Source organism: Homo sapiens, chromosome 16 (assembly GCF_000001405.40).
Source record: "Homo sapiens chromosome 16, GRCh38.p14 Primary Assembly".
NCBI lineage: Eukaryota > Metazoa > Chordata > Mammalia > Primates > Hominidae > Homo > Homo sapiens.
Genome location: NC_000016.10, coordinates 46,726,747 through 46,752,325, shown reverse-complemented (window position 1 = coordinate 46,752,325; position 25,579 = coordinate 46,726,747). Strand labels below are relative to the sequence as shown.

The window sequence follows — 25,579 nt, the reverse complement described above, 5'->3', positions numbered from 1 at the left end:
GAGTTCCAGTTGCAGTGAGCTGTGGTTGTGCCATTGCACTCCAGCCTGGGCAACAGATCGAGACCATATCTTAGAAAAAAACAAAGTAAAATAAAATGAGGGTGTTGAAATCTCTCTCACCCCATGATCCCCGAGACTGTTAGGTCACCAGAAGGCCAGGGAAGGGTCTTGGGGCCTGGTGCGTGCTGGCCCCACCCTAGGGTGAATAGAGGTCAGCCTGTCTTTTTCCGCGAGAGGATCCGCTGCCCTGTCCTTACCCAGGAAAGACAAGGGGTTATTGTATTTGCTGCTCTGTCAATCCAGTTCAGCTACCTCTTCTCTGGTCTTCTTTCTCTTGGCTTGGGGGGTCAATGCCTCCCCATCCTCTGGGCAAGCACCATCACCCAAAAACTGGCCAAGCCCCCTGCTGTGTCCTGTGCATCAGGGAGAGTTAGAGAGAAGCATCCCCGCAGGAAATCCATGTGCTCCAAACTCATTTCTCCTAAAGTGAGAATGAAAGAGGTTAAAGCTGGTCCTTCTGGCTACTCCTTTCCACCACAGAGGCCCCAGGAACTGCCTGCAATATGTTCTAGGCTTTCTCCCAGAGGGCCCCGGAGCTCCCTGGAGCTCCCTTCCCGGATTGTCAGGGTTTCCTGCCCTGTGCTCACTTTGAGGCCTCCTCCTTCCACAGAAGTCTCAGGACGGTCTGCTCAGCCGCCTGCTGCCTCCTCCTTAGCTCATTCCTCCATGTTGAACACCTGCCATGTACCAGGCGGCTGGTGCCTCCGGGAATCCAGGCCAAGCCCAAGAGGCTTGGTCTGCCCTCAGGGAGCTTCCAGCCGCAGCCACCTTCTTAGCAAATGAGCTACCTTGTAAACTTGTTGCTTAATGAAGACATGACAAATCCTTTTGTAATTTAATTCTTTTTTTTTTCTTTTTTGAGACAGAGTCTTGCTCTGTCACCCAGGCTGGAGTGCAGTGGCACCATCTCAGTTCACTGCAACCTCTGTCTCCCAGGTTCAAGTGATTCTCCTCAGCCTCCTGAGTAACTGGGATCACAGGTGCTCACCATCATGTCCTGCTAATTTTTGTATTTTTAGTAGAGATGGGGTTTCATCATGTTGACCAGGCTGGTCTCAAACTCCTGGCCTCAAGTGATTCGCCTGCCTTGGCCTCCCAAAGTGCTGGGATTACAGGTATGAGCCACCACGCCCGGCCTCAGATAATTCATGTTTGTTATAGATACATGGCTGGGGTATTTGGTGTTTTCCTCTGGATTCATTTAGACTTTGAAGTTATCTTTCTGGCTTTATTTATTTATTTGTTTTATTTATTATTATTTTTATTATTTTTGAGACAGAGTTTCACTCTTGTTGCCCAGGCTGGAGTGCAATGGCGTGATCTCAGCTCACTGCAATCTCCGTCTCCTGGGTTCAAGAGATTCTCCTGCCTCAGCCTCCCAAGTAGCTGGGATTACAGGCATGCACTACCACACCCGGCTAATTTTTTGTGTTTTTTTAGTAGAGATGGGATTTCACCATGTTAGCCAGGCTGGTCTCGAAATCCTGACCTCAGGTGATCCACCTGCCTCGGCCTCCCAAAGTGCTGGGATTACAGGCATGAGCCACCACAACCGGCCTATATATTTATTTTTGAGACACAGTCTTGCTCTGTCACCAGGCTGGAGGGCAGTGGCGCAATCTTGGCTCACTGCAACCTCTGCCTTACCAGTTCAAGCAATTCTCCTGCCTCAGCCTCCCAAGTAGCTGGGATTATAGGTGCACGCCATCATGCCCAGCAAATTTTTGTATTTTCAGTAGAGACGGTGTTTCACCATGTTGGCCAGGATGGTCTCAATCTCTTGACCTCGTGATCCATTTGCTTTGGCCTCCCAAAGTGCTGGGATTATAGGCGTGAGCCACTGCACCCGGCCCTTTCCGGCTTTATTAACCCAGGACTTGCCTGGTTGCTGGTTCTCCAGAGATCTCCACAGCAGTGGCAATAATAAAGTCTCTCCTCCAGAGACCAGGGTCTGCCTCTCTTGTCTGGTGGGAATTTTATTCCACAAAAATTATGGGCACCAGCTGGGGAGAGGCACAGGGGCTGGGTGTGTTAGACTTCTGAGACTTCTCTAAGCAGCCATTTCCCAAAGGTTGGCCCAGGGAGCCCCGATCTGCAGGGAAGTGCTAAGTGTGAAGTGTCAGGAGAGCCCCCTGCCCTGGTCGGGTGGGGGAGTCTTCTGTGGCAGATGAGGTCCTCCTGAGGTGCACGGTGAATCCCCAGAGGGACTGGAACACAGGGTTACCCCTCAAATTTCCTTTTCCAGGGAGACTTTGTTTATTTGTGTGTTTGTTTTCAGTGGCGGTGAATATAACAGACCCTGCTCTTTCTAGCATGTTCTGGGTCATTCCACCAATGACACCCAGGGCTGTGCTCTCAGGAATGGGTTTGGATTTCTCTGTGGGCTGCCCAGGGGCAACTATCGGGATAGAAGGGTAGGTAGAGAAGGTTGTGGTCAAGCTGCATTTGCATAGCAAGCTCACTGCATTGATAGGTTAATGGTCTAACATAGCAAAACCTCTAATGGTGCTTTCGTGTATTTATTTATTTTGAAGACAGGGTCTCGTTCTGTTGGCCAGGCTGGAGTGTAGTGGCAGGATCAGAGCTCGCTGCAGCCTCAAGCAATCCTCCCGCCTTAGCCTCCTGAGTAGCTAGGTCCACAGGTGCGTGCCACCACGCCTGGCTTATTTTTTGTAGAGACCAGGTCTCGCCATGTTGCCCAGGCTGGTTTCGAACACCTGGACACAAGCAATCCGCCTGCCAAAGTGCTGGGATTACAGATGTGAGCCACTGCATCCGGCCCTAATAGTGCTTTTAGATTCCAAATGTCCAGGTCAGTTTTTATCATAATTGCTTTTATTCAGAAGGGGGAAGCTTGAGGGGGACACTAAAGCCCCCTCCCTTGGGGGCAGCCCTGCCCATGGCTGGACCATCCTCAGGAGGCCGTGTGCCTGCCTGGGCCACCTTGGGCAAATGCCCCTCTCTGGGCTTTGCCCTCTGCCCACGGGGAGCTGGATGGAAATGGTGTAGGTCAGACTGCTCCGTGGCGTCCTTGGGACTTTAAGGGGCTCCCTGTGCCCCACCTCGGGGGTAACCTTAGCATCTCTGCTTGTGTCTGCTTTATTGACTGATACTTCTGTAAAACGTTTTATTTGAACCAAGGGCTTATAAGGCAAAAACGTTTGTAAACCACAGGAAACACAGGCCTGTTGTGCTCTGGGTCCCTGCTAGTCTGTTTCAGTATGGAAATTGCATGTCTGATACCTGCATAGTTGTTATTGGGGGAGCAGGTGTCTCTGGTGAGTGTCCCCCTGAGGGCCCTGTGAAGAACATGGCCCTCGGGACAGCGCTTGGCAGGTGGCCAGGGCCATTGCCCTCAGTTCTATTTTTAGGTACAAGGGACTAGTCACTGAGGGCTCCGGTGGGGAGGGACCTGCCGGCCACCCCACAGACAGTCTAAACACATGTTCTGAACGCTGGTGTAGTAGGGGCACCTGAAGTTTGTTTTAAATTTGCAGAAGCATCAAAATTTTCATCATGGCAGAAGTCACAACTTTGCTGAGTGGTCTCACATTCCTTTCTGTCTTGGTCTTGCTTTTTATTGTGACTCTGATGTGTGTGGCCTCAGGGCTCTGGGCCTCTAAGGACCTTCCTCCGCCCTGGGATCCCTCCTGGAGCCCAGCTGGCAGGTGCCGTTCTCCAAAGGACCCTTTCCTTTCCTCCGAACCATTAGTTGCATGAACCCTGCTGGCTCTGGGCAGATTCTTAACATATTTGCCCATCAGCAGCCTCTCAGAGAGGAATGTTAAATGCTGCCGTGATGTCAAAGGGGCCCCAAGGAGAAGGGCCTGGGCTGACCTCGGCCTGTCACTCACAGGCCCGTGTAGGGTGGGAGATAAGCAAAGCAAAGGCACAGGAAGAACCTGGGCCTCTGCGCTCCTCACACAGCCCAGGCCATCGTGGAGGTTGGTGCTGCCAGGAGTCTGTCAGCTACGGAGGACAATGACCTTGCAGACACCACCGCCTGAGTGAGAACCAGGGGTCTGTGCCTCTCCTCATTCCCCGCTCTTGCCCTTGTCAAGCCTGCACCAGCATGTCAGGAACCTCCAAGGAGAGTCTGGGGCATGGGGGGCTGCCAGGGTTGGGCAAGACCTGCTTAACAACCATGGACACAAAGCTGAACATGCTGAACGAGAAGGTGGACCAGCTCCTGCACTTCCAAGAAGATGTCACAGAGAAGTTGCAGAGCATGTGCCGAGACATGGGCCACCTGGAGCGGGGCCTGCACAGGCTGGAGGCCTCCCGGGCACCGGGCCCGGGCGGGGCTGATGGGGTTCCCCACATTGACACCCAGGCTGGGTGGCCCGAGGTCCTGGAGCTGGTGAGGGCCATGCAGCAGGATGCGGCCCAGCACGGTGCCAGGCTGGAGGCCCTCTTCAGGATGGTGGCTGCGGTGGACAGGGCCATCGCTTTGGTGGGGGCCACGTTCCAGAAATCAAAGGTGGCGGATTTCCTCATGCAGGGGCGTGTGCCCTGGAGGAGAGGCAGCCCAGGTGACAGCCCTGAGGAGGTTGGTTCCTGCTTCCCTGCCCTGGCTGGATGGGAGGCCCCGGCCCTGGTGGGAGACTGGCCAGGCAGCCAGTGTTTGGAGAGCTGGAGGCATGGTGTCCCCTTCCTGTGTGACCTGTTGATGGGGAAAAGGAGAGCTGGAAACTTACAGGTCATAGGTGGATTTCCAGTCCGGACACTGCCTGCCATTCTCCCCAGGGAAGGGAAGAAGCGGGGCTCTGGCCAGGACTGCAGGGTCTTGGCAGCTCCAGGGAACCTAGCTGTGGGGGACACGCTGGCGGTTTGGGAGGGAGGACCACCACACTTCTCTGACACCCCCGTGACTGCCCTTCTGCTCCTTCACACATGGGGTGGGACAGGCAGGAGTGGCCAGTTTGTCCTGATGGAGCCCTGCTCAGAAACCCACCCGCCACCTCCTGTCCCCAACCTTGAGCTTAGCTCCAGAGGGAGTGGAGAGTGCAGCTGCCTGTGGGGAGACGAGTGTTGACAGTGACCCAGGGGGACAGCAGGCAGGAGCCGGAGCCTGGGGGTGGAGGGTGGCATTCCTGGGAGCGGCTGTTCCTAAGAGTTGCATAATCAATCCTGCAGGCTAATGGAAGCTTGGCTGCTGGGAGAAGGATATGGGGGGTGAGGTCTGTAGAGGGAACACCCTGTTTGGGGACAGCTAGGGGTCAGCCACTTAGCAACACTCAGACAACCTGGAGCCACCATTTCAGACCCCTGCAGTGACTCACCAGCCTCTGGCAAGAGATGAGCTGGGGTCAGAGGGGTCCGTGCTTGACTCTGTGTCGGCTGCCTGCCGAGGACAGGAGCATGCCTCCCCTCCCCGCACCAGGCCAGAGCTCCCCTGCTGCCCCTTCCCCTCCCTGCCCTGCAGCTCCTTCAGAGCTGCCCCTCTCCCTAGCCCCCGCTGTCTGCACCGTGCCTTTTCTGAGGACTTGGCCTGCAGGGCAGTGTGACCCTAACAAAGCCCGGCTTTAAAAAATAAAATTATGCTGGGTGCAGTGGCTGATGCCTGTAATCCTAGTGCTTTGGGAGGCCGAGGTGGGAGGATTGCTTGAGGCCAAGAGTTTGAGACCAGCCTAGGCAACATAGGAAGACCCCGTCTCTACAAAAAATAAATAAATAAATTTACCAGGCATTGTGGCACAAACCTGTAGTCCTAGCTACTCGGGAGGCTAAGGTGGGAGAATTGTTTGAGTCCTGGAAATGGAGGCTTCGGTGAGCTATGTTTGTGCCAGTGCACTCCAGCCTGGGCCACAGAGTGAGGCCCTGTCTCTTAAAAAAAATAAAGAAATTTAATTTAATTATAGTCAGCCCTCCATATTTGTGGGTTCTACATCTGCAGATTCAATCAAATCTCGGATCAAAATGTACTTAGTCCTATGATGGTGTGTCCGTACTGAGCATGTACAGGTTTTTCTTTCTTGTCATTATTCTCTAAATAATAATACAGTTGTTATACAATAGTATAACAACTTCTCATATAGCATCTACATTTTATTAGGTATTATAAGTAATCTAGAGGTGATTTAAAGTGTATGGGAGGGTGTGTGTAGGTTACATGCAAATACCATGACATTTTATATCAGGGACTTGAGCAGCCATAGATTTTGCTGTGGAGGGGGCCCGGGAACCAATCCCTGGCACATACAGAGTCACGACTGTAAATAATAAAATAGATCTAATCAATAGCTTTAACAAAATTAATATGCACATAGTAAAAAAAATCATGTAGAGTAAAGAGCATACATCTCCTTCCTATTCCATCCCCCAGGCCCCAGAACACCAATACCCTGGCCCCCTAGGCAAGCGTGGATTCTGAGTTCCTTTGAATCCTTCCAGATAGAGGCTGTGTCTACAAGCCTCTATCTGGAGCACCCTTTTGTTTGGTATCCACAGCACCCTTTTGTTTTGTTTTGTTTTTCCCACAATCTGTAGCACCAGAACTGCTTTGTTGTTTTTGTTTGTTTTTGAGACGGAGCTTCACTCTGTCACCCCTGGAGTTCAATGGCGCGATCTCGACTGACTGCAATCTCCACCTCCTGGGTTCAAGCGATTCTCCTGTCTCAGCCTCCTGAATAGCTGGGATTACAGACGCCCTCCACCATGCCCGGCTAATTTTTTTGTATTTTTAGTAGAGATGGGGTTTCACCATGTTGGCCAGGCTGGTCTTGAGCTCCTGACCTCAAGTGATCTGCCTGCTTTGGCCTCCCAAAGTGCTGGGATTACAGGTGTGAGTTACCGCTCCTGGCAGAATTGTTTTATTTTAATTCAAATGTTATTCACATTGTCCTGGCCCCGATTTCTAATTTTTTACTTAATATATTTTGGGCATTGATTGATGTTCATATCGTTATGAATATATCTGGGTACTCCCTTTGGGGGCTGTGTCTTCAGTTGTTAACCAGCCCAGATCCTCGTTTGTTTCTGTTGTTTCTTATTTTTAGCAACTATAAATAAAGATGCAGTGAATATCCATAGATGTATGTCACTGAACACAAGTGTGAGTTTATCTGCATGTTACACTCCTGGCAGTGGAAATACCAAGCCAAATGGTAAATTTATACAGATAAAGGCAAGTCAGCCTTCAAAGAAGTTACTCCAAATCAGTCTCCTACCATCAAGGTGTGGGAATGCTTTTGATTCTTTGCCTTTCTGGTGAATGAAAACGGGAAATTATTGTGCATGTTTTTTTTTTTCTCTTTTCCCCACCCACTTCCCCCTTCAGATTATTTTAAGGAAATCTGAGATGTTGGATCATTTCTTTCATAAATGTTTTAGCATTTATAGCAAAAAGATAAGGGCTCTTTTAAAAAACATAATCTTGATACTATCATCACACCTAAAAAAGTGAATAACTTTGTTTATTTATTTTTATTTAGAGACAGGGTCTTACTACATTGCCCAGGCTGGTCTTGAACTCCTGGGCTCAAGCAATCCTCCTGCCTCAGCCTCCCGAAGTGTTGGGATTATAGGCACGAGCCACTGCACTGGGCCAAATGATAACTTTTTAGTGTTACTGAAGTTCAGTGTTCAAATTTCCCTGATTATCTTATACTTTAAAAATATTTTAGGCTGGGCGAGGTGGCTCAAGCCTGTAATCCCAGCACTTTGGGAGGCCGAGGTGGGGGGATCACCTGAGGTCAGGAGTTCGAGACCAGCCTGGCCAACATGCTGAAACCCTGTCTTTAATAGAAATACAAAAATTAGCTGGGCATGGTGGCGCATACCTGTAATGCCAGCTACTTGGGAGGCTGAGGCAGGAGAATTGCTTGAACCCAGGAGGTTGGAGGTTGCAGTGAGCCAAGATTGCACCACCATACTGCAGCCTGGGCAATAAGAGCAAAAACACCATCTTAAAAAAAAAAAAAAAAAAAAAAAAAAGCTGGGTGTGGTGGCTCACGCCTGTAATTCCAGCATTTTGGGAGGCCAAGGTGGGCAGATCACGAGGTCAGGAGTTCGAGACTAGTCTGGCCAATATGGTGAAACCCCCGTCTCTACTAAAAATACAAAAATTAGCCGGGCATGGTGGCGTGCACTTGTAGTCCTAGCTACCCGGGAGGCTGAGGCAGAAGAATCACTTGAACCCGGGAGGCGGAGGTTGCAGTGAGCCAAGACTGCACCACTGCACTCCAGCCTGGGTGACAGCGAGACTCCATCTCACAAAAATAAAATAAAATAAAATTTACAGTTTATTTGTATCAGACCCAGATAAGACAATTATTTATATGTCTCTTAAAGCTAACCTTTTGAACTTATGAAAAAATTTTAGGTTTTTATTATGGAAAATTTCAAATATAACCAAAGCTAGTTTTGGTTTATGTCTCATAGTTTTGATTTATATTTATTTTACTAGAGGACTGAACATCACTCACAGGTTTGAAACCTTTTGTATTTTCTGTGAACTGCCTGCTCATATCTTTTCCCCCTCTTTCCTATTTTGTTTTTTTGCCTTTTTCTTATTGATTTGTAAGAGCACTTCATGTATTAATGAAATTAGCTGTTATACGTGTTGCATGAAGGCATTTCTGGGTAAGGGAAGTCATAGAGCTTCCTCTTTTCTGAGTTCTTGTGCCATTTCCCGTCTGTCCTGCCCCACTGGAACTTGCTAGATTTCTCCTCTGGTCCTGGCGTTTAATAAACATGTTAGGAATGTCTTTAGGTTTGGTCCAGGCTCCCCATCAGGCTGTCGGCTGCTGATTGGCCCATTGACAGGAAGCCTCTGCTTCCCTCCGTGTTCTGAGGCCAGGGCAGGTCTTGCAGGAAGGGCTCAGAGAATGAGCGGTGAACTGAGACACAGCCACAGCTGCTAAACACATCGTCAGTGCTGAACGCCGTGCATTATGGAGGCTTCTTGGGGACTGTGTTTCCTGGGAGAGTGGGGCATGGCAACCATCTGTGGAATGGAATTAAATCCTAGCAACTGGCGGTTAAATTTGAAAATTGTGCCAGGACTTTTTGAAGGTCCTCCTGAGATCTTCAGAAGTCCCCAGCAGCACTTCATTTGGTTCCAGCAGTGAATTCGATGATCCCTGGAAGCCAGGTGCGGTCTCCTGGAAAACAGCCCCAGGCATATGTGTTCAGAGGCACCAGTCTTCTAGAATGGTGTGTGAGGAAGCACAGAAACGGCAGGGACTAGAAGGCTGAGCCCTGAAGACAGCACCCAGCTGGGGGTGGGGGGTGCGTACGCATGCGCCTGCCTACCCTAAAGATAAGGGAAGGAGAGGACAGTTTGAGCCCAACAAGGTCTGCCAAAGGACAGTCTGTCCAAGTCCCTTTCTGCCAGTGGGTAAAAGAGGAGGAGGTCTGTTTCATGCCTCCAGTTCCCCCAGCTCCGGGGGCAGCAGGACAGAGCCTGCAGAAGGATAAGGGGGAGCTGTCTGCCGAGCAGGGGATCTGGGCCACATTGATGACGCTGGTGATCATGGTGACAGCGGCAGTGAGCAGTTTTGATGAAGTGCCTCCCCCACGCCGGTGCTGGGCTGTGTGTTCTCCATGTGCTATGTCCTTACTGTTCAGAGGTCAAAGCTTGGTGTCCTGGAATCGCAAAATAATGAGCAGGTAGTAACTGAGAGGAGGGGCATGATGTAGACAAACAGTGGAACCACCACCTTAGGGTTGGGGAGACATTTGGGACAGCTGTGGTGCCCTGCTTAGAGGGGACTGCCCTAGCCGAGTTTTGCCATCTTGGCCTAGAGTTGCCAGATCTTCAGGTTTTTTTCTGTGTGTGTGTGTGTGTGTGTGTGTGTGTGTGTGTGTGTGTGTGTTTTTGCTGGGATTACAGGTGCCTGTCACCACGCCTGGCTAATTTTTGTATTTTTGTAGAGACAGGGTTTCACCCTGTTGGCCAGGCTGGTCTTGAACTCCTGACCTCATGTGATACACCCTCCTCGGCCTCCCAAAGTGCTGGGATTACAGGCGTGAGCTACCACGCCCCGCCATCCTCAGATTTTTAAAGAAAAGCTGGGAACTTAGATTTTTTTTTTTCTAGTGAGTTTATTAAGGTATAGTAATTACATAATAATTATGATGGTATAATTTACATATAATAAACTGCACATACACACAAACTATGCACATTTCAAATATATAGCTCCACAAATGTTTCCATCCATGTCACCATCACCACAATAAAAATGGGAAACAATTCTGTCACCCCAAAATGGATCCTGACTGTAAAAATCTCATAGATTTTAAAAGTTGGGAATAAATTGAAAAATTTAAACCTGGGTAACAAAGTGAGTACCTTGTCTCTATAAAACAACATCAACCAACAATTAGCTGGAGGTGGTGGCACGTGCCTGTAGTCCCAGCTACTCGTGAGGCTGAGGTGAGAGGATCACTTAATCCTGGAAGGTCGAGGCTGCAGTGAGCTGGGATCCAACCACTGCACTCCAGGCTGGACAACAGAGCGAGACTCTGTCTCAAAAAAAAAAAAAAAAAATTGCAAGCCCAACAAAATATGTCCTGAGCTGTTTTTGGCCTCTGGGCTTCTAATTAAGGGCTTCTGTGGCAAGGCAGGGGAAGGCCCTGGCTGGGCCCCCAGGTGTAAGGCACTCACTGATACAGCGGCCTCTCTTGCCTTGGCCACAGAAGCCCGGAGACTGGTGAGTGCCTTATGCCTGGGGGCCCAGCAAGGCTCTGGGCTGTGGCTGGCACTGCTGCTGTAACATGTGCCAGGATTCATCTTAGGGACTTCACGGAAGGGTCCAAACCCCAGAAGCACCATGCTCTTGCAAGAGGTCAGACCATCTGGAAATATTTGCTTGAGTGTGGACTAACTAAGCATACTGATGGCTCTGGGCTGTTTTATGGGTGAAAGCATGGGCAGGCCAGGCACTGGTCTGGTGTGGACCCTTTGGATTTAAGGAAAAGCTTCTGAGAGCTTCTCTGGGCCAGTTCCTTACACTGGGCTCATTTAACACTGATAGCTCTTGGTTCCTGGCAGGACAAAATTAGCAGAGCTATTGAGCACCCACTATGTGCTGGGCACACTTCTAGGACATTTGCACATTACTCCCAAATCCTCCTACTGACTCTACAAGGCTGATAACATGATTATCCCCATTTTACAGATGAGGAAAGTGAGATGCAGAGAATTTAAGGATCTTGGCCAAGTGGTGAAGGTGGGGTTCAAACCCAGCATGGCTGGCTCCAGAGTCCATGCCCCTGGCTACACTGCTACACTGTAAAGAGGTGACCATGGGATCCCCCAACCCAGCTCCCAGGCACACATTACTAATTGACCTTGGCACTGTTTCCCCCTAAGCATGGATTTGACTTCAGAATTCAACCGAAACCAATGCTGTAGTAGCCATGACCAGTTGATCTGGGTTGGCATATTGAGATTATTTTCCATCTCTGGCCGGGCGTGGTAGCTCACATCTGTAATCCCAGCACTTTGGGAGGCTGAGGAGGGAGAGTAGCTTGAGTCCAGGAGCTTGAGACCAGCCTGGCCAACATGGTGAAACCCTGTCTCTACTAAAAATACAAAAATTAGCCGGGCATGTTGGCCCATGCCTGTAGTCCCAGCTACTCGGGAGGCTGAACTGGGAGGGTCGTTTGAACCTGGGAGGCAGCGGTTGCAGTGAGCCGAGATTGTGCCACTGCACTGCAGCCTGGATGACAGAGCAAGACCTTGTCTCAAAAAAAAAAAAAAAAAATATATATATATATATGTATGTATATATATATATTTATGTATATATTTTTAAATGATTATTTTGCATCTGTAGTCTAAGTCCTTTGGGGTCCAGCCTATTTTGAACCCTGTATCGGGGGCTGGGTTCATCCCTTATGGGGAATATGGTGAAGCCCTGGAAAAGGAGGTGGTTCTGGGTGTGAAGCTGGGCGCCTCCTCTTTTAAATTTTATGACGTTGGGAAGGCCTCAGTGTCCTTCTCTCTAAAGTGATAATTGCAGTATCTACTCTCCAATGTTACTGTGAGACTGTGTGAAGTAATCTAAATGCCCTTATCTTAAACAAGGGGGAGGTGCTAAACAAATGTCTGTGGCCTGAATGGCAATGTTGATGATAATGATGACATTTTTTATGGTTGTTATTTTAGAATAAAGAGCGAGTGGAAGAAGAGGGAGGAAAACCAAAGCATGTGCTGAGCACCAGTGGGGTGCAGTCTGATGCCAGGGAGCCTGGGGAAGGTGAGTGGGACCCCATTTGCTTTATCTAACATTGCAGACACAACAGCTTCAGAATAAAGGCCCCAACAACACGGCCCACAGTATGATTCCTGGGCAACTGTCAAAGCTTCTTTTTTTCTTGTTTTTGCAGGGTTTTTTGTCATATATATCCCACCAGAGACACATAGTCAATTGCTGCATTTCAAAACCACCTGGAATACAGTTGACCCTTGAACACCTCGGGGTTGGGGAACTGACTTCCTGCACAGTTGAAAATTCAAGTATAATTTTTGAATCTTCCAAAATTTAACTACTAATAGCCTACTGTTGACTGGAAGTCTTGCTGATAACATAAATAAGCAATTAACACATGCTTGTTAAATATGGTATTCTTAGAGTAAGCTAAAGAAAAGAAAATGTTATTACGGTGATCACAAGGAAGATAAAATATATTCCCTATTCATTCAGTGGAAGTGGGTCTTCATTCTTGTCATTTTCACATTGAGTAGGCTGAGGAGGATGAGGAAGGTGAGGGGTTGGTCTTGTTGTCTTGGTGGCAGAGGAGGAAGAAAATCTACGTCTAAGTGAACCCGTGCAGTTCAAACCTGTGTTGCTCAAGGGCCAACTGTAGTACCTTTCTGTGCAGGCTATGCCACCAACTTGTTACTCAAATGCTTTAAATGTTTATGGATTACTTTCTTAACCTTTAATTTTCTTGTATAATTTTGCATGATATTTATGTGGTTCCAAAGTCAAATAGACAAAACAATGCGTATTAAGAGAAGTCTAGAGGCCAGGTGCAATGGTCCATTCCTGTAATCCTAGCAATTTGGGAGGCCAAGGCAGGAGTATCATTTGAGCCCAGGAGTTTGAGACCAGCCTGGGCAACATAGTGAGACTCCATCACTATGAAATTTTTTTTTACTTCAAAATAAGAGGCCGGGCACGGTGGCTCACACCTGTAATCCCAGCACTTTGGGAGGCTGAGGTGGGCAGATCAGCTGAGGTTAGGAGTTCGAGACCAGCCTGGCCAACATGGTGAAATACTGTCTCTACTAAAAATACAAAAATTAACTGGGCATGGTGGCATGTGCCTGTAATCCCAGCTACTCAGGAGGCTGAGGCAGGAGAATCGCTTGGACCAGGGAGGTGGAGGTTGCAGTGAGCCGAGATCACGCCACTGTACTCCAGCCTGGGTGACAAGAGCAAGACTCTGTCTCAAAAATAAAAAACAAATAAAAGAGAAGTCTATCTTCTACCTTTGTTCTCTGCACCCTGCTTCCTCCCCTGATATGTAAGTAACCATTTAAAAAACTTTTGTCTTTTCTTTCCCTTGAGGTCCAGTCTAACTAGACAACATGATCAGTGGTTATGTGCACATGTGCACACATGCACACTCACACATGCTCCCTTCTTAGAGAAACAGGATGCCAGACACACCATTCTCCACCTTGCTTTCTTTCACTTACAGTATATTCAGAGATCACTCCTTAGCTGTGCTTAGAGATTGTTTTTTTGAGATGGGGTCTCACTCTGTTGCCCAGGCTGGAGTGCAAGTGGCGTGAATATGGCTCACTGCAGCCTCTATCTACTGTGCTCAATCCTCCTGCCTCAGCCTCCCAAGTAGCTGGGATTGCAGGCACATGTGACCATGCCCAACTCATTTAAAAATGTTTATTTTTAGTAGAGGCAAGCTTTCATTGTGTTGCCCAGGCTTCCATAGAGATATTAATTTCTCCTTTTTCACGGCTGTGCCGCACTCCTTGTTGGATGCATCATGGTTTAGTCAACCAGCCCCTTTCATTTGGGTTGCTTCCAGTCTTTGGCTATTATAAACCTGAGCACTGAATGGCCTTGTGCAGATTCCTTGCAGTATCTTTGTGGCAGACTCCTCCACATGGGAGTGCATTTTTGTCCTGCCTGTTTTCCTGTAGAGAGCCAGAAGGCGGACGTGCTGGAGGGGACAGCGGAGAGGCTGCCCCCCATCAGAGCGTCAGGGCTGGGAGCTGACCCCGCCCAGGCAGTGGTCTCACCGGGCCAGGGAGATGGTGTTCCTGGCCCAGCCCAGGCATTCCCTGGCCACCTGCCCCTGCCCACAAAGGTGGAAGCCAAGGCTCCTGAGACACCCAGCGAGAACCTCAGGACTGGCCTGGAATTGGCTCCAGCACCCGGCAGGGTCAATGTGGTCTCCCCGAGCCTGGAGGTTGCACCAGGTGCAGGACAAGGAGCATCGTCCAGCAGGCCTGACCCTGAGCCCTTAGAGGAAGGCACGAGGCTGACTCCAGGGCCTGGCCCTCAGTGCCCAGGGCCTCCAGGGCTGCCAGCCCAGGCCAGGGCAACCCACAGTGGTGGAGAAACACCTCCAAGGTAAGGGGAGCTCTTCCAGGCTGGGTGAGGGAGGGGATGGACTGTGGCCCCTCGCTGGAGCTCGGCCGTGGGCAGCATCCACTGCATACATGTTCCTGGGCTGTTCTTGCGAGGGGAATGGGGAGGAGGCCTGGGCCCTGCCTCTGGGAGCTTAGAGTACCAGTGCTCACCGGCTGCCCACTAGAAATAACTGGGGGGAGTTTGGAAAATAAAGATGCCTGGAGATGTTGATTGAATTGGTCTGGAGTGAGTCTCAGGAATTAGATTTTTCTTTTTTACATGCTTCCCAGGTGGTCCTAATGGGGAACAGGGTTGAGAATCACTAGCTCTTAGATCAGTACTAACAGTAGCTAAAAGATGGGGCTCACGGAGCACCTGCCCCTGAGCTGGCCATTGGCTGGGCATTTCACCGGGTTCACCTTCTATTCTCAAGCCATCCACAGAAGGTGAATGTGGTTGTTATCCCCATTTCATTGATGAGAATACTTAGGCTCCCAGTGCCCAGGGCCCCACAGCTAGGAATTCATAGAGTTGGGATCTGAATCCGGGTTACCGGATTCCGGAACCTGTGCCCCAATCACTGCACCATCCTGCTTCCTCAAGTCGGCATTTAATTAAGTTCTAAATAATATGGTGGGGAGAGAAGGACAGGGCCCTCAGGAATGTGAGAGGAGTGCAGGCTGAGTCAGCCCCAGGAGCTTTCAGCAGGCTCACGCAGAAGTCCTGGAGGTGGAGTCGTGGCAGCTGCCCTGCCCCTAGAACGCAGCCTGAGGACCTGCTCTCGGCAGGCAGATGTCTGTAGCAGAGTAAAGAACCCGCAGACTCTCATGCCCTCCCCAGCACGTCCCGGTCCCCAGGGCAGCCCTGCTGAAGGGCGCTGTGGCCCCGGGCTTCTCTCGGAGGGACCTGGTGTTTCCTAGCATCTTCTGCGCCTGCCTAGGGTGGCCCTGACCTGTCACGGAGAACCCAAGCCTGGCTCAGGGAGTGGATCTGGTGTCTGTGTTTGCTGTGGTGACAGGCAGAGAAGCCCAGATCATTTGTCAGACTTGGTTCTAGGAGGAAATGGGAGCCTCCCAGGAGGCCTCGCAGGATGGAGGAAGGGGTTCCTGGCAGGCATCCCGGGATCGGAACCAGGACACTAAATGTGGAATCTGGGGCTGGGGGTGAACTGTCTATGAAGTTGTTAGGGGCCTCAAAAGATTCTGACAGAGAAGAAAAGTTCTCTATCTCAGTTTCAACCCTTGGCTGAATTCAGGCCCAGCAGACCTGCAGCGGCCTCAGGAAGAGAGGAGATCACTACCTGCCCTTCCTCACCTCAGACATGGGTGTATTTTGAGGAAAATAGGTTGGAAGTCAAGTATCAGCTCTGACGGGCCATGGCTGCCTGTGCAGAGGATCCTGCCGGGCACTGTGGCTCATGCCTTGATCCCAGCACTGTGAGAGGCCGAGGCGGGAGGATCGCTTGAGCCTAGGAGCTTGAGGCCAGCCTGGGCAACAAAGCAAGACCCTATCTCTACAAAAATTAGCTGGGCTACCGTGGGCATGGTGGCGTGCACCTGTAATCCATGCATGCTACTGGGGAGGCTGAGGTGGGAGGATCACTTGAGCCCAGGAGGTTGAGGCTGTAGTGAGTTATGATCACACCATTGCACTCCAGCCTGGGAGACAAAGTGAGACCCTATTTGAAACAAACAACAACAACAACAAACAAACCCAGAGGATCCTGAGGCCATGACTACTGAGGCATTGAGCTGGACCTGGTCAGCACTGCCTGCCGTGAGTCTGCCACATGGCGGGTAGACAGCTTTGGGTACTGAAGGTGGCAGGAGCTGCTTGTAAGTGCCTTTAGGGGCTTCACTTCATGCCCCTGGAAGTGAAGACCCAAAGGGAAGTCATGACTGCTGGCCTTCTCAGCTGACCGTTGACTGGCAGCAGTTTCCTGTGTCCCTTGGTCTGGCAGGAGGCCTGAGTTAGATTTGGAGTGCCTTGCTATGGATGCCACACTTCCCTTCCTACCTGTCATTACCGAACCATGCCCAGTCCCAAGGCACAGTGTTGGAAGGATTTCTACCTCCCACCCAGTGAGTCACACGCACCTAGGGACAGGTGTGTCAGAGAGGTCCAGCAGCTCAGACACGGGGACGGGGCCTTCAGCTGCTGGAGAAAGGCGTCACTGTTTTCTTTTAAAAAATTGGGATAAAAACTGTCCAGGCACAGTGGCTCATGCTTGTAATCCCAGCACTTTGGGAGGCCGAGGCGGGCGGATCAGCTGAGGTCAAGAGTTCAAGACCAGCCTGGCCAAAATGGTGAAACCCTGTCTCTACTAAAAATACAAAAATTAGCTGGGCATGGTGGCGGGTGCCTGTAATCCCAGCTACTCAGGAGACTGAGGCAGGAGAATCTCTTGAACCTGGGAGGCGGAGGTTGCGGTGAGCCAAGATTGTGCCATTGCACTCCAGCCTAGGGGACAAGACCGAGACTTTGTTGCAAATAAATAAATAAATAAATAGGGGTAAAAACCACATAATGTAAAATTTAACATCTTAGCGCCCCCCTCCTTTTTTTTTTTTGAGACAGGGTCTCACTCTGTCACCGAGGCTGGAGTGCAGTGGTGCCATCTCGGCTCACTTCAGCCTCCACTTCTCGGGCTCAAGTGAGCCTCCTGCCTCAGCCTGCAGTGTAGCTGGGATTACAAGCATGTGCCACCATGCCTGGTTAATTTTTTATGTTTTTGTAGAGACAGGTCCCACTATGTTGCTCAGGCTGGTCTCGAACTCCTGGCCTCAAGTGATCCTCCTGCCTCAGCCTCCCAAAGTGCTGGGATTACAAGTGTGAGCCACAGTGCCCAGCCCCATCTTAACCTTTTAAAAGTGTACACTCAGTAGTGTTAAGTATATTCACGTTGTTGTGAGACAGATCTCCAGGACGTTTCCATCTAGCAAAACTGAGATTCATCATCCACTAAATAACACCTCCTGCCCCTCAGCCCTTGACAGCCACCATTGTACTTTCTGTCTCCATGAATCTGAGTATTTGAGGGTCCTAATATCAGTGGAATCATACAGGATTTGTCTTTTTGTGTGTGTGTGTGTGATGGAGTCTCACTGTGTCACCCAGGCTGGAGTGCAGTGGCATGATCTCAACTCACTGCAAACTCCACCTCCTGGGTTCAAGCGATTAGCTATTCTCCTCCCTCAGCCTCCCAAGTAGCTGGGACTACAAGCACGTGCCACCACACTCAGCTAATTTTTGTATTTTTAGTAGAGATGGACTTTCTCCATGTTGGCCAGTCTGGTATCAAACTCCTGATCTCAGGTGATCCATTCTCCTTGGCCTCCCAAAGCGCTGGGATTACAGATGTGAGCCACTGCACCTGGCCACAGGATTTGTCTTTTTGTGCCTGGCTCATTTCACTGAGCACAGTGTCCTCAGGGTCCATCGATGCTGTAGTGTGTGTCAGAACGTCCCTCCTCTTTAAGGCTGAATAGTATTCTGTGCTATATAATGCGTAGACACCACCTTCTGTCTATGTATTATCCATCACTGGGCATTTGGGTTGCTTCCACCTTTTGGCTTTTGTGAGTAATGCTGCTACAGTTATGAGTGTACAGATGTCTCTTGGAGACCCTGCTTTGGATTCTCTGGGATATATACCCAGAAGTGGAGTTGCTGAAACATGCGGTAATCCTACTTTTAATTTCTGAAGAGCCTCCAGTTTTCCACAGCAGTTGTGCCATTTTAGCCCTTTTGAACCCCTGCATTTGTGCCTTCCTCTCTTGGTTGACTCTTGGTGCATCTGTAAGGTATCACCGTCCCTGAAGAGAAAAGAGAGAACTGAGGCCAGACTTATCCAAAGCTGTCCAGCAACCTGCTGGCAGAGCTAAGCCCAGAATCGAGGCCACCTGCCTCCCTGCTGAGACTCAGTCCCCGCCAGACACTGTCACCCTCACCCCCTAACACACATAGACCCCGTGCTGTGGGATTGTGGCCCAGCAAAAAGAAGCCCCACCAAGAGGCAGCCAGAGGTGGGGAGACTCGGAGAGAGAGGGTTTGGATTCCCGGGTGACTTGACTGCCAGGATCAGGGTCCTTCCTTCTAGAGGTCGGGGCTCAGAGGGCCTTTCCCACCTCCATCTGGGCTCACAAACCCTAGTATTGCAGAGTCTGGGCAGTGAAAATGAGTGAAGTGAGCTGGGGCATTGCCAGGGTGCGCAGGGCCTGTGCTGAAGTGGAGAGCTGTTCCTCAACCATGTGGGCACGTGGGCCCAGCACAGCCAGCTCTTCTGTTTGTTCAAGATGAACAGAAAGTCTAGTCTTTTATGAGAATTGCCTGATTTTATTTTATTTTAGTTTTTGAGACAGGGTCTCTCACTCTGTCGCCCAGGCTGGAGTGCAGTGGTATGATCATAGCTCACTGTAGCCTCCATCTCCTGGGTTTAAGCAGTCCTCTTGCCTCAGCCTCCTGAGTATCTGGGACCACCACTCCTGGCTAAGTTTTTTAAAATTATTTTTTGTAGAGGTGGGGTCTTGCTATGTTGCCCAGGCTGGTCTCAAACTCCTGGCCTCAAGGGATCCTCCCACCTTGGCCTCCCAAAGCACTGGGATTACAGGTGTGAGCCACTGTGCCCAGCTGGAATTGACTGATTTTAAACAAATACTTCTGATCTGGGGCTTCCAGTGTGACGTTTGAGTTGGTTTCTCCTTATCTTCATTTAAGTGAAAGGGAAACTGGGCCCAGGGGAAGGTAGAGGGACCCGGGCCTCCCGCCTACAGGCCTCAGTTCTCCTGGGACAGAAGCAGGTTCTCAGGGGTGTATGGTCCTCACCCCTGTCCATTCTCAAGCTTCCCAGGACCCTCATCCGGTGGGATCCTGGGAGCTGATGGCACCAACTGTCACTGAAGTCAGCTCCTGCCCTGGTGTCCTGTCTAGCAGGGCCCCAGGGCCATTGTCAATGATGGCAGCAGTGGGCATTGGAACCCACGTCTGTTCTGACTCCAGAGTCCTTGCCTCTAACCTCAGCACCATGTTTCTCTCCACCCCAGGATCTCCATCCACATACAAGAGATGGATACTCCTGGGGAGATGCTGATGACAGGCAGGGGCAGCCTTGGACCCACCCTCACCACAGAGGCTCCAGCAGCTGCCCAGCCAGGCAAGCAGGGCCCACCTGGGACCGGGCGCTGCCTCCAAGCCCCTGGGACTGAGCCCGGAGAACAGACCCCTGAAGGAGCCAGAGAGCTCTCCCCGCTGCAGGAGAGCAGCAGCCCCGGGGGAGTGAAGGCAGAGGAGGAGCAAAGGGCTGGGGCCGAGCCTGGCACGAGACCAAGCTTGGCCAGGAGTGACGACAATGACCACGAGGTTGGGGCCCTGGGCCTGCAGCAGGGCAAAAGCCCAGGGGCGGGAAACCCTGAGCCTGAGCAGGACTGTGCAGCCAGGGCTCCGGTGAGAGCTGAAGCAGTAAGGAGGATGCCCCCAGGCGCCGAGGCTGGCAGCGTGGTTCTGGGTAAGTGGGGCTGTTGCCTGGCTAGACACGAGCCCTGAGGGGAGGGAGTTTGGAGCCCCTACTCCTGGGGAGTCTTCCTGTAGCTTCCAGGGGTAGATCATATGAGTCTGGGGGCGTCCAAGAGTCGGGAACATCTCCAGGTACATCCTGGGGCTGGAGACCAAGGCGCAGAGATGTGGGGCCTGAACTTGGGCTGGCTGCAGGGGTAAGGGAGAGGGGACACGTGTGGCCCACCTGGGTACATTTCCTTTTTTGGAGACAGGGTCTTGCTCTGTTGCCCAGGCTGGAGTCCAGTGGCATGATCATAGTCCCCTGCAGGCTTGACCCAGGTTCAAGTGATCCTCCAGCCTCGGCCTCCCAGAGCTTTGGGATTGCAGGCATAAGCCGCTGTGCCTGGCCACTGGGGAGATTTCTTACCGCCACCTGCCCACCTGAGCTTGCCACCATGAGTCTCATTTTGGATTGAGAGAGAGAAGGCTCTGTTAAAAAGCGAAGACATGAATTGGTGTCTGTGACCACTGTCAGCCATTCCCACCCACCCGGGCTAGTGACCCAGGGTGTGTTCTTATGATCTAAAAGCCCTCAACCCCTCCAGCCCTAGGGTCACACCCTCCTTGGTCTGAGAATTGTCCACGGACCACTGTCGGTGTTCCCGGTAGTTGGAGAGCAGGCAAAGTGCTCCCATGGCGAGCACTGAACAAACGCTAGCCCGAGCCAACTTCCTTCCAGCCCTTGGTGCACAACCGGTTCATACCACTGCACTTGCTGTGTGTTCTAGATTCTGTTTTATTCATTTAGTCTATTTCCTGTAACATTTCTAGGTATTCATATCACCTCTGAAGGACAAGATTAAAATAAAACAACCCTAAACCATTAAAAAACAAACAAACAAGCAAACCTTTCCAAGTGCTGGCCGTCCTCTATTTCCCTTGCCGACAGATCCCCTGTCCACCCCCTCCCCAATCCTGTGCCCCGGGGCCTGCCCCTCTGGCTCCATCACGGGCTGTCATGCTGAGCTTCTGGTTGGGCTCAGCTGGCAGGAGATGGAGGGTGAGAGGAGAGAGGGTGGATGTTTATTTCTCCAGCTGCCTCCCTCTCATAACACCCTCATGAGTTTCCACAGCCCTGACTTTACAGTCCCTTTAAAAATAGTGGCGTCACTAACTGCCCCATCACCTTGTCCACATGGGCCCTCTGTTTCCTGTGGGCCACACAGATCCACTAGGATCACCTTCTAGATGTCATGAACAGACTGGATAGAACTTCTCGGCCTTGCCAAGGGCACTGTCCTGGGTGCCGGGAGACCTGGGTTTGAGTGCTGTCTGTCACGGGCTCCCTTCTCTGCCGAATGGATGGCTCTACTGAGATGGTTTGGAGAAAAGGTTTCAAATACCAGGGCTGTACATAGGGCCTGGTGGACCAAGAGAAGCTAAGTGGGTCTGGCACAGGTGACCGAGAGGTGTGGGCTGCACAGAGGAGGCTCACAGGTCCTTATTGCCTCCTGAGCAGATGACAGTCCGGCCCCACCAGCTCCTTTTGAACACCGGGTAGTGAGCGTCAAGGAGACCTCCATCTCTGCGGGTTACGAGGTGTGCCAGCACGAAGTCTTGGGAGGGTAGGTGGGCATCTGCCTTGGTTGGGGGGCTTAGAGCAGGAGTCACGGGGCAGGGTCGGGACCACCTGGAGAACTGGGGTGGGTGCTGCAGGATGACTCTCTCTCGAGCTGATGGAGCCAAGGCTGGGGTGGGACATCCTGTACAGCATGGGGTGCATGGTGGCCCACAGAGTAGGGGAAAGAGAATAGCTTGAGAGGACACGAGAGCCCACGTGGCATCGGGGAGGGGAGGCTCAGGAGGGCGGGCACCCTGTGGGTATGGGAGGAGGCACAGCCTGGAGGTGGCCGGAAAGCCGACATGAGGTGGGGTGAGGAGAAGCTTCTTTAGGGTGGATAGCCCAGGTGGTGTGGGGTGAGGGGATGTTCCCTGGGATGCAAGATGGCCCAGGTGGTGTGGGGTGAGGGGATGTTCCCTGGGGTGCAGGATGGCCCAGGTGGTGTGCGGTGAGGGGGATGTTCCTTCAGGTGCAGGATGGCCTCAGTGGTGTGGGGTGAGGAGATGTTCCCTGGGGTGCAGGATGGCCTGGGTGGTGTGGGGTGAGGGGATGTTCCCTGGGGTGCAGGATGGCCTGGGTGGTGTGGGGTGAGGGGATGTTCCCTGGGGTGCAGGATGGCCTGGGTGGTGTGGGGTGAAGGGGATGTTCCTTCGGGTGCAGGATGGCCTCAGTGGTGAGGGATGAGGGGATGTTCCCTGGGATGTGGAATGGCCTGGGTGGTGTGGGGTGAAGAGTTGCTTTGCAGGTTTCGGGATAGCCAGCAGGGTTTTGGGGTGATGACAGGCTGCACTCTGGGATGTAGGATGGTCCACATGGCCTGTGTGTGGATGAGTTGGACCCAGAAGTCCAGGGATGGGTGTGGGATGAGCCTCTGGGCTCTCAGCCTGCCGTGTGGCTATGTCTCTGCAGGGGTCGGTTTGGCCAGGTCCACAGGTGCACAGAGAAGTCCACAGGCCTCCCACTGGCTGCCAAGATCATCAAAGTGAAGAGCGCCAAGGACCGGGTGAGGCATCTGGCTGGGCCAGGTCCCTGTGGCCAGCCTCAGGATTCCTTTCCTTCCCTCAGGGCCCCCAGGCTCCCATGCTGAGCTGGAAATGCTACTTATTCCTGCTCTTTTCCAGAATTCCCACCCTCCAGTCAGGCAGTCCCCTTCACAGCCCTGGGTCCAGACCCACCCTCCATGCGCAGGTGTCCAGGCACAGCTCTGTAGAGCTGCCTGTGGGGCCTGGGGCAAGAAGGTCCTGTCCTTGTTGGGCCTTAGGTTTCCTGTCTGTGAGATGAGTGGGTCACACTCAGGCCCTTTGTGTTGTAGAATCTGGTTTGGGTGTTGAGTCAGGGAGACCTGGTGTGAGAATAGGAAACTAAGGAAGAATGAGGAGTTCTGTGTCTGTCTTGGGAGGTCAGCTGGCTCCTCTTCTTGACTCATTCGCTTGGAAATCCTTCTGTCCTCTGGTTCCCCCAAGGAGGACGTGAAGAACGAGATCAACATCATGAACCAGCTCAGCCACGTGAACCTGATCCAGCTCTATGACGCCTTCGAGAGCAAGCACAGCTGCACCCTTGTCATGGAGTAGTGAGTATCAGAGGCGGGGCGGCCGCCTCGGCTCAAGCCAGGGCTCAGTGCTGGGGCTTAGAGCCTTCATTCGAGGCAAAGCCCTCTCTCTCCTTTCCCCTTCCTGGCACGTCCAGGGTCGTGTCATCCTGTCTTCTCTGGCTTGGCTATTTGACCTCCAATACGGAATGTGGAGGACAAAGCAACTTTGTCACAAACCAGTGGCCAGTGAGCCTGATTTGACCTGCAGGTGTATGTATGTCAATTGACCTATACTACTTTCAGTGATTTTTTGAAAATTAAATTAAATTGAAACTTTTTTTAGAGACAAGGTCTTACTCTGTCACCCAGGCTGGAGTGCAGTGGTGTGATCACAGCTCACTGCAGCCTTGAACTCCCAGACTCCAGTGATCCTCCCACTGTAGCCTCCCATGAAGCTGTGACCACAGGCGTGTGCCACAATGCCCAGCTAATTTTTAAATTTTTTGTAGAGATGAGGTCTTGCTATGTCGCCCAGGCTGGTCTTGAACTCCTGAACTCAAGTGATACTTCTGCCTCAGCTTCCCAAAGTGCTGGGATTACAGGTGTGAGCCACCACACTCTGCCTATTTTTAGTAATGTGGGATTTGTTGTTAACCATTGGAAATTAGGAAGCTTCACATTAAAACCTAGATATCTGGCTTTTCTTGAAAACATAAAAGATGTAGTAAATGCCGGGCCTGCCTTTCCAAGTGGAAGTGATGTGTGGGAGCTCCCAGGGGTTGCTGTTTGTATACAGGGTGACCAGGCTTCCTTTGCCACAATCCCCACCACTCCCAACCGCCCCAGTGCTGGGGCCAAGGGCTCAGAGGCCGTTCATATTTGTGCTTGTGTTGCTGTTTTCCTTATGGGCAGAGCTGAAGAGAGTAAAACATTTGTCATGTCATGTCCTTATTGAAAGTGGAAAAAGAAAAGATAAGCGAAAGACTATGTGTCTTCAGAACATGTTTGCTTCATGTATGGCCTTATTGGCCCATTTAGGCTTATGCCACAAAGGTCTGAGTTGGCCTCCATAGGTGAATGAGTTCACAGCCCTGGTCAGAATCATCCAGAGTGTGCCTGGATCATCAACACTGATGGCCATCCCCTCTTCCCTTTGACCTGTCACTTCCTTTTTACCACGCCTAATCTTTGCTGGGAGCAGACTGGAGCAAAGGTCCCAATAAAACCCCAATGGCAGGCCCGGCGGGGTGGCTCACGCCTATAATCTCAGCACTTCGGGAGGCCGAGGTGGGTGGATCACATGAGGTCAGGAGTTCGAGACAAGGCTGACCGACATGGTGAAACCCTGTCTCTATTAAAAATACAAAAATTAGCCGGGTGTGGTGGTGAGCACCTATAATCCCAGCTACTTGGAAAGCTGAGGCAGGAGAATCACTTGAACCCAGGAGACGGAGGTTGCAGTGAGCAGAGATCGCGCCACTGCACTCCAGCCTGGGCGACAGGGTGAGACTCTGTCTAAAAACAAAACACACAAAAAACCCAAGGGCAGTGGCAGCAGCCCTGTGACCCATGGGGTGTGATGGTGGGCCTACCCGGGCTGGCCTCTTTTGGCCCTATAATGACAGTGGACAAGCCCTGAAGAGCCTTGCTTAGGCTGGTGCCTGCCTCTCCCTTTGCTCTGGCAGCGTGGACGGGGGTGAGCTCTTCGACCGGATCACAGATGAGAAGTACCACCTGACTGAGCTGGATGTGGTCCTGTTCACCAGGCAGATCTGTGAGGGTGTGCATTACCTGCACCAGCACTACATCCTGCACCTGGACCTCAAGGTGGGTTCTGCCCTGGGCATGCGGTAGGGGCCCCTGGTGTCCTAGCTCCTGGCGTGCTCTCACCATTGAGAGCTCTATCCACAGACAGTCCCAGCTTCCATTCCTGGCTCTCTGTCATTTTGTAGTTCTGGAGTCTGGGACAGGCCACTCTTGCTGCCTCTTGGGGCTGTAGTTCTTCCATCTGGATAATGGTACCTCTTTAAGTATTATTTGAAGATTAAGTGAAACAATGAGCTTTTCTTCTTTAAAAATATCTTTAAGATTACTTTTTTTAAAAGTTCAAAAGGGAACATAGGCTTTTGGTAACAACTATAGACAACAGAGTAGTGTGTAAAATACACAGTGAAAGTTCCTCCCGCCAGCCCTCCGTGCGGAAGGGACTTCTCTGTGAGCAAGCTGGCATGACTCACAGACACACAAAAGGAGATCCTACGATGCATTCTTCCCTCCCTCCCTCCCCCTCTCTCTCTTTCTTTTCTTTCTTTCTCT

General features: G+C 51.4%; 1 protein-coding gene across 2 annotated transcripts in view, besides 4 other annotated features; it reads left to right on the top strand.

Moving 5' to 3' along the window:
* The window catches only part of MYLK3 (myosin light chain kinase 3), a 60,965-nt gene that overhangs the window by 10,921 nt on the left and 24,465 nt on the right, over positions 1-25,579 (top strand). The window contains exons 1-8 of one of the 2 annotated variants that reach the window (NM_182493.3): positions 3,982-4,609; positions 12,179-12,269; positions 14,183-14,615; positions 19,658-20,118; positions 21,628-21,733; positions 22,639-22,732; positions 23,193-23,302; positions 24,949-25,090. In NM_182493.3, the coding sequence (NP_872299.2) occupies positions 4,133-4,609; positions 12,179-12,269; positions 14,183-14,615; positions 19,658-20,118; positions 21,628-21,733; positions 22,639-22,732; positions 23,193-23,302; positions 24,949-25,090 (1,914 nt within the window). In that variant the 5' untranslated portion in view covers positions 3,982-4,132. Of the gene's footprint in view, positions 1-3,981; positions 4,610-12,178; positions 12,270-14,182; positions 14,616-19,657; positions 20,119-21,627; positions 21,734-22,638; positions 22,733-23,192; positions 23,303-24,948; positions 25,091-25,579 lie in introns of those variants that run through there. The other variant, NM_001308301.1, reaches the window with a different exon arrangement.
* Positions 4,196-5,045: an enhancer, noted in NCBI's record as "H3K27ac-H3K4me1 hESC enhancer chr16:46781193-46782042 (GRCh37/hg19 assembly coordinates)". NCBI's record gives its function as "activates a minimal SCP1, AML or CMV promoter by ChIP-STARR-seq in naive H9 embryonic stem cells {active_cell/tissue: H9 hESC(naive)}" and the evidence as "EXISTENCE:reporter gene assay evidence [ECO:0000049][PMID:30033119]".
* Positions 8,942-8,991: an enhancer, noted in NCBI's record as "active region_10773". NCBI's record gives its function as "activates an Ori minimal core promoter by ATAC-STARR-seq in GM12878 lymphoblastoid cells {active_cell/tissue: GM12878}" and the evidence as "EXISTENCE:reporter gene assay evidence [ECO:0000049][PMID:35858748]".
* Positions 16,026-16,725: an enhancer, noted in NCBI's record as "H3K27ac hESC enhancer chr16:46769513-46770212 (GRCh37/hg19 assembly coordinates)". NCBI's record gives its function as "activates a minimal SCP1, AML or CMV promoter by ChIP-STARR-seq in primed H9 embryonic stem cells {active_cell/tissue: H9 hESC(primed)}" and the evidence as "EXISTENCE:reporter gene assay evidence [ECO:0000049][PMID:30033119]".
* Positions 24,878-25,428: an enhancer, noted in NCBI's record as "H3K27ac-H3K4me1 hESC enhancer chr16:46760810-46761360 (GRCh37/hg19 assembly coordinates)". NCBI's record gives its function as "activates a minimal SCP1, AML or CMV promoter by ChIP-STARR-seq in primed H9 embryonic stem cells {active_cell/tissue: H9 hESC(primed)}" and the evidence as "EXISTENCE:reporter gene assay evidence [ECO:0000049][PMID:30033119]".